We start from the raw sequence: 12,869 nt of genomic DNA, 5'->3' as shown, positions 1-12,869 counted from the left end.
ATAATGCAAAGTTTTAGGCAATAAAACCCCACAAAAAACAAAAAGCAAAAACTCAAACAACCTTGGAGAGAACTTGTCATCAGCAGACCTGCTGTAAAACAGGGGAATTATTCAAATAGAAGGAAAACCTTCAGACAGAAGCACAGAAATGCATATTGGAATGAAGAGCAATATAAGGATAAATATGGAGGTTAATCTAAATGAGTACTTATTGTACAGAACAATAAGTATAAATTCTTGTGTGGCTTAAAATACACACACAATTAAAATCCTTGACGACAATAAACACAAAAGGGAGATGGGTAGGTGGAGATACAGTATTTTAATGTCTTAGCATTCCCGGGGAAGTGGTAAAAGTAATTATTTTGTATAAGATCATAAGTCAAAAAGCAATGTTGTAATCTCTAAAACTAGTAATGTATAATTTAAAAATTAATAGAGGGGGTTAATGATATAGTTAAAATATTTTAATTAATTCAAAAGAAGGCAAAAAGCAGAGAACAAGGAATGTGAAATAGGTGATCCAAAATAAATGGTAAGATGGTAGGCATACATCCACATATACCAGTAATTATATTAAATGTAAATGGACTAAAAATGTTTCCTGTTGAAACCAGGACAGAGCAAACTTCCAATTTCAGGCTGGCATGGACTCTGTATAAGACACAAGTACCAAGTACAAGTGAAAAGGCAGGGATTCCTAGAGCAAAATATGCAAGGGGGAAATAACCTTTAGTTGCCAGCTCCACAGGGCTGAATCGTGAGTAAAGTTTGAGCTAAGAAAAACTATCCTTTCAGAGTGCAGATTGCTTTTTAACTTGCAAATGATGAGGACTTTAATCCGTCTTTGTTGCAAGATTTTTATTTTGAGAAGACCTCCTGAATGTGCCATTTAGTTATGCAAATGTAAAGCAGAGACTCTTTATGGAAGCTGTGTGAAAAGCTCAACTGTGCTTTGTTGTTATAAATTGTTTTAAATTCTTGCTACTGTTTAATCCCCAGTTTGGTCTTTTCACAGGATGGCTGTGGCTAGTTTTCTTCCAAATTATCCAAAAGTAAACACAACTCATCTCTGTATTATTTTTCTTCTGAAGGCCACACACTCTAGTCTCACATGAAGAACTCATTGTCTTTGCATTAATATGACTTTATCTGCCCTCTTTGGGAAATAAAAATCTGCCTATTCTACTAAAAGAAAATACATATATATATATATATATATATTTTTTTTTTTTTTTTTTTTTTTTTTTTTCCTGGAGGTGATTTCATTACAAACAGGGACCATTTTACCTGAGAATGTGTCTATCTGATTCATCTAGGATGAAAGAGATCCTTTCTATTGGATTATCATGTATTCCAAATTTCTCTACTGCTTTGGAGATGGGGCTTGGAAGTAGGCGATGAATGGCAACTCAGTCAACCTCACTACATTACACTTCTGTTTCTGTCAGTGTCAGGATATTGATTAGGCTGGACCATGATCTGAAAAGTTACGTTATTCTTACTGAATGGTCCAGAGTCTACCGTATGGAGGGTAGGGCTATGGATTAGAGTGGAGACGGGATAGATAGAAAAGTTTGGGTTCCCTCTTGCTGTGTCTCTCAGGCTGGAGTGTAGTGGCGATCATAGTTCACTGCAGCCTGGAACTCCCGGGCTCAAGCAGGCCTCCCGAGTAGCTGGGCTACAGCAGCGCCCCGCCACAAACGGCTTTCTTAACGGCTTAAAAAATTGTTCATTCACGAGCAACATTTTTTTATTTTAAACCGCCTACTACAGTACTTGTACAACATTATTCTAGGTGCTGGAGATGCAGAGTCATTATAGGAGAGCATTTACCAGTGAATGTATTCGGAATATATATATATATATATATATATCACATGTAAGTGCAAAATGACTAGAGCAAATGATACTACTACAGAAGTTCAGAAAAGGAAGTCAGCATGGAAGTTAAGGCAGTGGGTGAGAGGGAGGCCCTTAAAAGCTAAAGCTGAGATAAAATGAGGTATTGCGGGCGACAGTCTAGGCGGGGTGTGTCGTATGGGGTTGGGGACAGGGCAGATAAAGGTCAGGCAGCAGGATACACGTCCATGTCAACGATTAAACATTTAGTGTCTTTTTCATGTCTACTGTCTTTCTAGTGAATGCAGAAAAAAAAAAAATGCATGACTTGGCCAGGTGCAGTGTCTCAGGCCTGTAATCCCAGCACTTTGGGAGGCCGAAGAGGGCGGATCACTTGAAGTCAGGAGTTCGAGACCAGCGGCCTGGCCAACATAGTGACACCCCGTCTCTACTAAAAATACAAAAATAAGCCAGGCGTGGTGGCGGGCGCCTGCAGTCCCAGCTACTCAGGAGGATGAGGTAGGAGAATCGCTTGAACCCAGGAGACGGAGGTTGCAGTGAGCCAAGATCGCACCACTTGCACTCCAGCCTGGGCAACAGAGCGACACTGTCTCAAAAAAAAAAAAAAAAGTATGACTCAGTCTCTGCATCAAAGAGTTTAAAGTAGATGAAAGGCAAGACAAAGAAACGTCCATACAGCCAGTAGTGGACAGGCAGGCCATGAAGAACCGCCTGCTCGTGGTTCCAACGCCCTAAGTATGGACAAGAGTTCCGCACAGGGCAAGAAGGGAAGACCGGCTTTGGAATAAGACAAATCTCAGTCCCAGGCTCAGGTGCGCGCCACATACTAGCTGTGTGACCTTGTCCAAGTCACACGACCCAGGTCTGTGGAGTCTCCCATAAAATGGCTCTAGTGAGCTCCAAGAACCCTCTCAGCTGCTGGGGGAGGGAAGAAATGAAGTCACTGCTGAAAGGGGTTAAGACGGGTGCTTCTGGTTCCACCCTCTCCCCAACTCTTCCCACCGACACAGGAGAGCCGTCGGGGGCTGAGGCGAGCTGCCAGGGGTGAGGACGGGAAGCCGCCTCCTCTCCGCCCCCCAGGCCCCGCCCTCGGGCTCCGGAAAGTCGCTGTGCAGGCAAATGAGTGGGGAGGGAGGGCTCACTAACTGTAAACAGACGCCGCCGAGAGTTCCCATCCTGCGTGGCTGCCGGATTTCCGTGCCACACTGAAGCCACCCCACCCAGACTCCTGCCCTCAGTTTCCCCAGCGGTGGCATGGGGTGCACCAGCTCCTCCTCTCCCGGGTCGCCGTCTGACTTAAACGCGTGAGACGGGAGAGGAGGAACCCCCGCTCCCCAGCCTCCAGCCCCACCAAGTCCTCCTCCTCCCCTGGCTTTGGCCTTTTGTACCGGCCCCACGTGACCCCGCCGGCCGGCTCTTCCCTGCTGCCCCGCCCCGCCCTCCGGCCTTTCCCGGCTCTCGGCCCAGCTCTTCCCGCTCTCGGCCGCCCCCCACCCGCGCTGCCGGGCCTCCGCCTCCCCTCGCCGCCCGCCCAGGCTCTTCCAGCTCCCTCCCCCAGGCCGCCGTTCCCTCGCGACGCTCCCCTCCCCCCGCGGCTGTTCCGCCGCCTTGCCTCCCCTCCCCCCGGCTGGAGCTCACTGTCTCCAAGATGGCGGCCGTGTCAGTTTGGGGCATCTCCGCGGTCCGGCCCGGGGCCCCGGGATCTCGGCTGTCCTTCCTCCCGGTAAGTAGCCGAGGGGCCGTTCCCGGCCGCCCCCGGCCGCCCAGCCCGAGGCCGAGCCGCTCCAGGGCCCACTCCGCTGCCTCGCGGGGTCGGCGGGCCGCTGCAGGCCCCGCCGCGGCCTGCGCCGCCTCCCGCTGCTCTGCGCCAGGCCTCGGGCTGGGGCGCCGTGGCCGCCCCCTCGCGCCCGCCCGCTCGCTCGCTCGCTTGCTCGCTTGTTCGGCGCCCGGCTGCCCCGGCCCGCGGCCCGCGCGCCGCCGCCCGGCCCCGCGCTCGCGGGCCCCGCGCCCCCGATCCCGCCGGCCGGGCCCGCCCTGGGGGAGCCGGCGGGTGGGCGGGCGGCGAGCGGCCCAGGCCGCGGAGCCTCGGGCTGGCGGAGCCGGCGAGCCCGCTCTCCCTCGGGGCGCGCCCACCCGCCCGCCGCGCGCGTGCCGGCTGTGCCGGGCCGGGCCGCTTCTCCCCGCGCTCGCGGGCGCTCGGGTTCGGGCTCGGGCTCGGGTTCCGGCTCCGGCTTTGGCTCCGGCCGGGGGCGCGGGGATCCGAGCGGGGCTGAGGCGGCGAGCGGGGCTGACAGGCCGGCGGGTGTTGTGGTGCGAGGCGCAGCACGTGTGGTGTTGTGTCTGCCGGGCTGTCAGCCCAGCCGCCGAGGGGAGGCCGGGCGCCTGTCAACCTCGCGGCTTGGCCCGGTGCGCGACTGTCAGGCTCCCAGCAACCCGCGCCGCCCTCGAGCCGGCCCCCAGAGCTTAGGGTGCGGAGCTGGGCCGGGGCTATGCACCGCTCTGAACTCCTTCACGTGATTTCATTGTTAACTTGTGCTCGGGGTCTGTTTCCATCGCGTGGAAACGGTGCAGCGCCCCGTCGGCGAGCTGCCGGGCTGTGCAGATCCAAGTTTTTAAAGTTTCTCGCTCTTTGAAAAGAGAGCGCGAAGACGTGTTTAGGGGTGGGGAATGGGGACGGGAAGGACTGTCGGAAGCGAGTTGCGCTCGCTCTAGCCGCTCGTGTACTTTCCGGGAGTTAAGATCCGAGGCTGCAGGCGCTTGACTTTCCGAAGACCTGGAGACTGATGACAATCCCGACTGGAAAGACAATGAGTGACTGTCACTCATTCTTTTACCTGCGAAGCTTAGTCAATTAGGACGTTCGTTCCCAGCTTGTTAAACTCAGGATGTAGCTTCTCATTTAGTTTAGACTTAATATCTGTATAATGAGCTTACTTGGAGTAATGATACTCTGATTTCTATCCTCTTGAGACCCTCACCAAATTGAAGCATGATTCTCCCAGGGGGCTTCTTTTTAGGCAGCTGATTTAAAAACAAATCTTGGCTCAGGTTTGAATGTTTGCTTCACTCTTTTCTTTCCTATCAGAGTTAATAGTAATATCTCTTTCCTAGTGTGTATTAGTTTTCCGTTTGATTTTAATGTCACTACCAAGAATAGTTGCTGTGGGAGCCATTTGTCTAGCATTGTTTATATTGTAATGCAAATGATCTCCAGAATGAGAGCAGAAGTTCTAAAAAACACTTCAGTTAAACTTATTTTTGGAGGCAAAAGAGTTAGATTCAGAATTCAGTACTTTAGTGATTAAACAAGATTGCATCTACCAGATTCTTTTATAGGGATACTGACTTTGATTCAGAGAGACAGTACATTTCTGTTTATGTTTTATTAATGTTCGTTTCAGGACAGCAATCTTGAATTTATATCTTTATTATTTGGGCTTCTCTTTAGTCCTACAAGTAGCCAGTGTATTTCTTTTTCTGTACCGTCCGTTTGATATGTAGTATGTGCGTTGACCCCAGTGATTCTGGGCCTTCCTCATTTCTAGTTTTCCTGTCTGAATTACTTACACGCAGTTTGACAGTTGTGACTCTCTTCAGCATATGAATAGAAACATCTTAGTTTGGGTTAGGAGAAGCTATCAGCATGTAATTCTTAAAATTTGAATGAAAGTGGATTATTGTTAAATTCAGTAAGCACTTTTACTCTAGGCTATTTTCAATAGTATTTTTGTTTCCATTAGGAGAGATTAAGGTAATACTGTACTTAAATTATAAACTGGGTGTGCATATTGTATTCATTCTTTTCATGTAAGAACTAAAATTTTCTCAGTCGTTTTCTGCCTTATTGACTGTTTTTGTCTACTCTGAATGTCTAGAATTTTGAAAGATGAAAGATTCACTTTTACTTTCATTGCAGGATTCTTTCTACTAATCCAGATACTTGTTGAAGTGCTGACTAGTTTCTTGGGGAAAGATGTCAAGGAAGAGTTGAAATTCCTAGACTGGTGAGCAGAGATTGCGGAGTACAGAATAGCCATCACCCACTCTGGTTAGTGGTAGCTTAAAGGTCATTCTTAGAACATGTCATCGTGTTTCCTCATTGTATCCTAATTACTCATCTTTTTTTTTTCTTTTCTTTTTTTTTCTTTTTTATCCCAATGGTTTACATACATGATTGTTTTGGAATATTAATAGATAAGTTTGGAAATTCTTAAGGGTGCCTAGTAAACACTTGCTGTTTGATTGCTTTATGATGAGGATGCTTATTTTCATTCGAAATAGGTCTTGGTAGAAAACTGACCTTATTTTCATTGCTTTTCAGGCATAAGATGCACATTTTTCTGCTCTGGAGCCGGGAATGAAATATTCTTGAGTTCTTACAACTTTATGACGAGACCCATGTGTGGTGCTATTGAGAAATTCATTGGGAAGTTGGAAGACATTTCAATCAACAGGTTGTTTTGGTTTCTATAGTACAATTGGGGTGGCATTCTGTTTTGTGAAAGGAGGAAGGACTTAGGCCAGAAAACTCATATGCTATGGTTAACTGGTTCCCAGCCTCCGAGAATCTTGTTTTCCATGGTGTAAAACTTACTCAGCATCAGGATAAGGGATAACGACTCTATGGATATACAGAATCCTTCACCATGGTAAAACTCGCAAACCCGCTTTATACTGAGTGGATTTTGGAGGCCATCAAAAAAGTGAAAAAGCAGAAACAGCGTCCTTCAGAAGAAAGGATATGCAATGCTGTGTCTTCATCCCATGGCTTGGATCGTAAAACTGTTTTAGAACAATTGGAGTTGAGTGTTAAAGATGGAACAATTTTAAAAGTCTCAAATAAAGGACTCAATTCCTATAAAGATCCTGATAATCCTGGGCGAATAGCACTTCCTAAGCCTCGGAACCATGGAAAATTGGATAATAAACAAAATGTGGATTGGAATAAACTGATAAAGCGGGCAGTTGAGGGCTTGGCAGAGTCTGGTGGCTCAACTTTGAAAAGCATTGAACGTTTTTTGAAAGGTCAGAAGGATGTGTCTGCATTATTCGGAGGCAGTGCTGCCTCTGGCTTTCACCAGCAGTTACGATTGGCTATCAAACGTGCCATTGGCCACGGCAGACTCCTTAAAGATGGACCTCTTTATCGGCTCAACACTAAAGCAACCAACGTGGATGGGAAAGAGAGTTGTGAGTCTCTTTCCTGTTTACCTCCAGTGTCCCTTCTTCCACATGAAAAGGATAAGGTAAGAATGGCATATGCTTCGGGGTTTATAGAGCTGATGATATAGGATGCTACAAATTCACATTTCTGGGAAGTTATATTCAAGTTTTTTGTTTGGGGACTTCTGTGGAGTGATCACCTCTGGTTTTTTATTGGTGAGTTGTAGCTATGAGAGCTTCATAGATTTGTTCTGGTACTTTGAAATATTTGAAGCCTAAGATTAAAAATGTAGAATGTTAATCTGACTAAAAGAACTTATTTACATTACAATGAAAAAGTGACATATGAGTTTAAAACTTTTTTTTAAATTTTTTTTTATTATTTTGCTTGAGGAGTACTCCAGCGTGAGACTTTAAAACTTTAACTAAAGGTTCTTAGAACACCTTACTACTGGAAGTTGATGAGCAGCCAAATCATGGAGACTTGAATTTGAAACAAGCAGATGACTCTGAGAACATTTTTCTGTTTTCCATTTTGTTGCAGATTACTCGTTAGACAGAAATGAGACAGATTCTCATGACCCATAGGCGCAACTAAGCAAACTTAGCAATTCTTGTTTCTGCTGTTTGTATTATAGCTTTCTGTCATGTATTATGGCTTTGCATATGATGAAGTCCTAAATGCTATTTATGACAGCTGTAGTTGCATGGGACAGGAATACAGTATCCTAAACTAGAAAAGTTCTGGAGGGTCTGGAACAGTAGTTCATGCCTGTAATCCCAGCGCTTTGGGAGGCTGGGACAGGAGGATGTCTTGAGCCTAGGAGTTTGAGCCCAGCCTGAGCAATATAGCGAGACCCCACGTCCACCAAAAATAGAAAAATTAGCCAGGTATGGGCGCGCCTGTAGTCCTAGCTACTTGGGAGGCTGTGTCGGGGAGGATTGCTTGAGTACAGGTGTCTGAGGCTCCAGTGAGCTATGCTGTCACCACTGCACTCCAGCCTGGACAACTGAGACCCTGTTCTAAAAACAAAAAGAAAGGTAAAGTTCTGGAGAGTTGGGAGTTTTGATGCCCAGATGTGTACTTTACTCTGTTGTGTTTTAGGATGTTATTGTATATAGTTGAAATTATGACTTCTTAAACAGTAAATTTTGGTGCTTAAATAGATATTTGGAGATTAGGAGAATTTTGTTAGTACCTGTTTTTTACATTGACCTAGTATCTTAGCTGTAAATTTACTTAAGGTGCTCTGAATTATAGTTCCTTGGAGAGCAGTGATGCTTTAAGTTGCTGCACACCTTGGTAGACATAAGTAAAATGATCTTCATTTTGCTTAAGATGATGGAGGATACTCCTAGGGTGGAAAGATGGTAAAGTTAACATTGAATGTATTTTGAAAATTGGAGATTTGATCTCAATTTGTTGTATTATTAGCAGCCCACTGAATACCTGTAGATTTTTCTTTAACAATTGAAAATTAACGGTATTTTTCTTTGATGAAATTTTTAGAGATCTATTTCAGGGTTCAATTTTCCCTGTGAACATTGAAATAAAACATAATCTTACTGTTATTACCCTTGAAATGATTCTCATACAGTCATGAATTGATAGAGAATCTCATTCATAAAATGGCTCTATGTAATTTGAGCATTTATTAAAAGTATATATTAAAAATTCAGGGTAGACAAGTAATTAAAATGCTTTATTCTATATTTAAGTGCTGTAAGAACTCTTACCTGTAGAAACTTTATCACATGTGGCTGAATTTAAATACAGTTATCGGATTTCTACAATTATTAAATGATCTAACAGGTTAACTGCCTGGAAACAGGAAATAATTTATAGTTAGATCAGTTCAGTGCCATACCTGTGAATTGGATGTTATAAGTTCCTGTTAGGCCACCTGTTTGCTTTTATTTATTTATTTTTGAGACAGAATCTCGTTCTGTCACCCAGGCTGGAGTGCAGTGGTGCAGTCTCACTGCAACCTCCGCCTCCCAGGTTCAAGCGATTCTCTTGCCTCAGCCTCCCAAGTAGCTGGGATTACAGACATGCACCACCACGCCCGGCTAATTTTTGTATTTTTAGTAGAGACGGGGTTTCACCTTGTTGGCCAGGCTGGTCTCGAACTCCTGACCTCGAGTGATCCACCCGCCTCTGCCTCCCAAAGTGTTGGGATTACAGGCTTGAGCCACCGTGCCTGGCCTGTTGTTTGCTTTTATTGTAATTACACTTGCTTGAATTATCAATAGATAATTTTAAAAAATATTAGCTATATAAAAATGTCATTTGAGCATATTTTTAAAAGGTAGTAAATATAGTACAGTGCAAGACAAATCCAAGTCCTAGAACCCTGAGATTTTACTTTTGGAAGGGACCCTGAGAACCGTCTAATCCAAGTCCTTATTTTGCAGCTGAGCTAAGGACCTTTGTTGAGACCATTTCATAGCACCTTTGCATTAAGAAAAGTTTAATTCAGTAGAGATGTGCTGTTTTGCTTTGACTGGAGTGCAGTGGTGTGATCTCAGCTCACTGCAACCTTCGCCTCCCGGGTTCAAGCGATTCTTCTGCCTCAACCTCCTGAGTAGCTGGGATTATAGGTTTGCGCCACCACGTGTGGCTACTTTTTTTTTTTTTTTTTTGTATTTTTAGTAGAGACAGGGTTTCACCATGTTGGCTAGGCTGGTCTCAACTCCTGACCTCAAGCGACCTGCCCACCTCGGTCTCTCAAAGTGCCAAGATTATAGGAATGATCCACCGCACCTGGCCACATTTGATTTTGGAGAAATAAAGCAAGAAAAACAAAAGTGATTTAATAATTGAAAAAATGAAAAAGAAATGCCCATTTGCTTACATAGCTTTCATATATAGTGTTTTTTTGTTTTTTTTTTTTTTTTGAGATGGAATTTCGCTCTTGTTGCCCAGGCTGGAGTGCAGTGGCACGATCTTGGCTTACTGCAGCCTCCGCTGCCCAGGTTCAAGCAATTCTTCCTTCTCAGCCTCCCATGTAGCTGGGATTACAGGCATGCTGACCACCATGCCTGGCTAATTTTGTATTTTTAGTAGAGACGGGGTTTCTCCCTGTTGGTCAGGCTCATCTCGAACTCCCAACCTCAGGTGATCCGCCCACCTTGGCCTCCCAAAGTGCTGGCATTACAGGCATGAGCCACCCTGCCTATAGTGTTAACTGAAGTAACTAAATTTAGACATGTTGGAAAATAGAGTTTGTTTCTTCAGGTAGACTTGTATATGTACTAATCTCATTGGAAAACTAATTTCATGATAGTATCTATTCAATTAGAGTTGGTGAGCTCTGTTCTATATTTTTAAATGGAGTCTTATTTTCAGTAGTGAATTTCCTGTGTGACTTCCCCCAAAGATATGAAAAGTTTACATTAAAAATCGTAATACAGTGAACTCTAGGATGAGAGATTATTCCTTTGAACAGATTATGTCTGCTCCTTTTATTGTATTTTAACTATTTTCTTTCCTCTCCTTCGAACTACGCAGTCAGTTGCTATGCAGAATTGATAGTTTGCTGTTACGAACCTAGATGTTCTCAAAAAAAGAAAAGAATTATCCAGAGTTTATTTGACAGTGATGGAGAAAGGAAGGTGTATAGGTCAGGAGTAGTTTCACTTTTAGGAATTAATTGGTTCAGCATATAGTCATTGAGCACCTACTGTGGGCCAGGCACTCTGCTTGGAACAGAAACAGTTCTGTCTTCTCTGGGATGCTAATGCAGGTATTTCTATTGACCTGGCCAACTGTAAGGTGAAGATGAAATTCAAAGACTGCGTGGAGTAACCCGAGCAAGTTCCTCTTTACTTTTTCTGGTATCAATTCTAACTTTTTGTTTTTTTTTGGTGATATTAACCTTTGGAAGGAACTGTATGTTAGATTTTCGGCAGCTGAGTGGTTTTGATCCTTTTGGGAGATCAACTGTGTTGGAATACGTTTAAGAGGAGTTTTTGTGAAGACATTGGAACTTTAGTGTGTTCTTTTCACATTGATAAGTACTGAGGAGAATCCATGGGATACTGTGATTAAAAGTTTTTAGGCCAGGCCTGGTGGCTCAGGCCTGTAATCCCAGCACTTTGGGATGCCGAGGGGGGGGTGGATCACCTGAGGTCAGGAGTTCAGGACCAGCCTGGCCAATATGGTGAAACCCCATCTCTACAGAATACAAAAATCAGCCCGGCATGATGGTGGGTGCCTGTAATCCCAGCTACTCGGTAGGCTGAGGCAGGATAATCGCTTGAACCCAGGAGGCGGAGGTTGTAGCGAGCCTAGATTGTGCCACTGCACTCCAGCCTGGGCAACAGAGCAAGACTCCATCTCAAAAAAAAAAAAAAAAAAAAGTTTTTACCCATGTTATAAGGGAAATTTTTGAGCTAACTTTAGAGTGTGGTAGTTAATGGTGAGTTTATTTATTAAAGTGTTTATTTACTATGTGCCAGGCGTTATTTTAATGCTGTATATATATTAACTCATTTAATCCTCTAACATAACTAGCTACTGTTAGGTTAGTTAGTTATTAATAACATAACAGTACCAGCAGTGAAATAGCTACTGTTATTTTACAGGTGAAGAAACTGAGGCATAAAAGAGATTTCAGTAACTTGCTGAAGTCACACAAATATTAGGTGGCAGAGCTGGGATTTGAATTTGGGCAGTCTGGCTCCAGAGTCTTTGTAATAGCCATACTGACCACCTCTTAGGAGCAGTAATGTATGATGGCTATCACTGCACTCAAGTACAGAATCGTGAATGTCCTTGGTGTTAACTTCATAGCACATTTCCTAATTGTTAAAGGACAAATTCCCGCCCGTCTTCATTGTGTCCATTTTTCTTTTTTTGCAGAACAGATTTGAAAATTCACTTTGGACCAGTGATAAGAATGTGTTAGGAACCAAAGATTAGGAGTAATCTAGTTTTGTATATCTGAGGTCCATTAAAAAAAAGTTTCACCTACATGCCATTTTTTTCCCTTAAAGATAATTTCTGTGCTAACTAATTTTCATTTCAGTTGTCACTAACATTTTCTGATAGGCAAGGTAGGGATCAGTTGTATTGCTATACCAGAGTGCTTTAATTTGGGACAGAAATACTGTTTTCCTTGAATCATGGGATTATAGGTGAGGAGAAGAGTGTGTAACTGGCTTAAATAGCATCTTCCTCTTTGTAAATTTCTTTTTGAAATATAGATATTACTGTAAGGTAATTTGTTCCATTTACTTCAGTTATTCATTATTTATTTAGCAAACATTTGAATGCCTGCCATGAACAGTGGATTTAAGATTTAGGTCCTGTGAGGGGATTAAAGCAGACAGAATAGAGATACAAAATAAATTTTTTGAAAGCCTTTTTTAGTTTATGAACTGTAATTTTTTTACATTATTATTTTTTCATAACAATTAAGTATCATGACTCAGAAATAATAATATGTTTAGTGGGCAAGGCAATTATTTGAGACTGTGATGGTCCATTTAAAAAATTATCTTTATATAGTGAGTCTTGGAAAGATTCAATTTCCTTTCAAGAATAGTTTTCACCTTGATTTCAAACTTCTGAGTTCATTTTTACACACTGACATAATTTACTTGAATATATATAGTTTGTGTTCTGTATTACTAGCCCAGAAAAATATTCTCTTTCATGGTAATCAGCCAGATCATTAAAAGTATTGTTATTTGGTGGCATAGTATTTTGGAACAGAATTATAATTTGCTAAAGCGTTCAGTTGGACAGGGAAGAGTAGGTATTGTCAACTAATGTTATTGTTCAGGTTACTCCCAGCTGGGTAACCTGGAGCAGAAAGATCCAATGATAAATCTCTTGC

The 12,869-nt window shown here is 43.5% G+C and overlaps 1 protein-coding gene, 1 long non-coding RNA gene and 1 other non-coding gene across 4 annotated transcripts in view, besides 7 other annotated features; 2 read left to right on the top strand and 1 right to left on the bottom strand.

The window, feature by feature from the left end:
• The window catches only part of KAT6A-AS1 (KAT6A antisense RNA 1), a 53,238-nt gene extending 49,501 nt beyond the window's left edge, over positions 1-3,737 (bottom strand). The window contains exon 1 of the long non-coding RNA NR_136589.1: positions 3,502-3,737. This is a non-coding gene — a long non-coding RNA (KAT6A antisense RNA 1). The remainder of the gene's footprint in view (positions 1-3,501) is intronic.
• Positions 602-896: a silencer, noted in NCBI's record as "tiled region #9305; HepG2 Repressive non-DNase unmatched - State 24:Quies". NCBI's record gives its function as "represses a minimal TATA promoter and a strong SV40 promoter by Sharpr-MPRA in HepG2 cells {active_cell/tissue: HepG2}" and the evidence as "EXISTENCE:reporter gene assay evidence [ECO:0000049][PMID:27701403]".
• Positions 2,366-2,886: an enhancer, noted in NCBI's record as "H3K27ac hESC enhancer chr8:41910119-41910639 (GRCh37/hg19 assembly coordinates)". NCBI's record gives its function as "activates a minimal SCP1, AML or CMV promoter by ChIP-STARR-seq in primed H9 embryonic stem cells {active_cell/tissue: H9 hESC(primed)}" and the evidence as "EXISTENCE:reporter gene assay evidence [ECO:0000049][PMID:30033119]".
• Positions 2,857-3,016: a silencer, noted in NCBI's record as "silent region_19152". NCBI's record gives its function as "represses an Ori minimal core promoter by ATAC-STARR-seq in GM12878 lymphoblastoid cells {active_cell/tissue: GM12878}" and the evidence as "EXISTENCE:reporter gene assay evidence [ECO:0000049][PMID:35858748]".
• Positions 2,857-3,836: a biological region, named in NCBI's record as "H3K27ac hESC enhancer GRCh37_chr8:41909597-41910118".
• Positions 2,887-3,408: an enhancer, noted in NCBI's record as "H3K27ac hESC enhancer chr8:41909597-41910118 (GRCh37/hg19 assembly coordinates)". NCBI's record gives its function as "activates a minimal SCP1, AML or CMV promoter by ChIP-STARR-seq in primed H9 embryonic stem cells {active_cell/tissue: H9 hESC(primed)}" and the evidence as "EXISTENCE:reporter gene assay evidence [ECO:0000049][PMID:30033119]".
• Positions 3,207-3,836: a silencer, noted in NCBI's record as "silent region_19151". NCBI's record gives its function as "represses an Ori minimal core promoter by ATAC-STARR-seq in GM12878 lymphoblastoid cells {active_cell/tissue: GM12878}" and the evidence as "EXISTENCE:reporter gene assay evidence [ECO:0000049][PMID:35858748]".
• Positions 3,500-12,869, top strand: part of KAT6A (lysine acetyltransferase 6A) — a 122,509-nt gene continuing 113,139 nt past the window's right edge. For both annotated transcript variants that reach the window (NM_006766.5, NM_001305878.2), the window contains exons 1-2: positions 3,500-3,586; positions 6,185-7,109. In NM_006766.5, the coding sequence (NP_006757.2) occupies positions 6,510-7,109 (600 nt within the window). In that variant the 5' untranslated portion in view covers positions 3,500-3,586; positions 6,185-6,509. The remainder of the gene's footprint in view (positions 3,587-6,184; positions 7,110-12,869) is intronic.
• Positions 3,937-4,406: a silencer, noted in NCBI's record as "silent region_19150". NCBI's record gives its function as "represses an Ori minimal core promoter by ATAC-STARR-seq in GM12878 lymphoblastoid cells {active_cell/tissue: GM12878}" and the evidence as "EXISTENCE:reporter gene assay evidence [ECO:0000049][PMID:35858748]".
• On the top strand, positions 11,912-11,983 carry LOC124900271 (small nucleolar RNA SNORD112). Its single transcript, XR_007061209.1, has one exon. It is a non-coding gene; the product is annotated as a small nucleolar RNA SNORD112 (small nucleolar RNA).

The sequence above is a fragment of the Homo sapiens genome, chromosome 8, assembly GCF_000001405.40.
Source record: "Homo sapiens chromosome 8, GRCh38.p14 Primary Assembly".
NCBI lineage: Eukaryota > Metazoa > Chordata > Mammalia > Primates > Hominidae > Homo > Homo sapiens.
The sequence above is the reverse complement of the archived record's forward strand: the minus strand, read 5'-3'. Positions and strand labels throughout refer to the sequence as shown.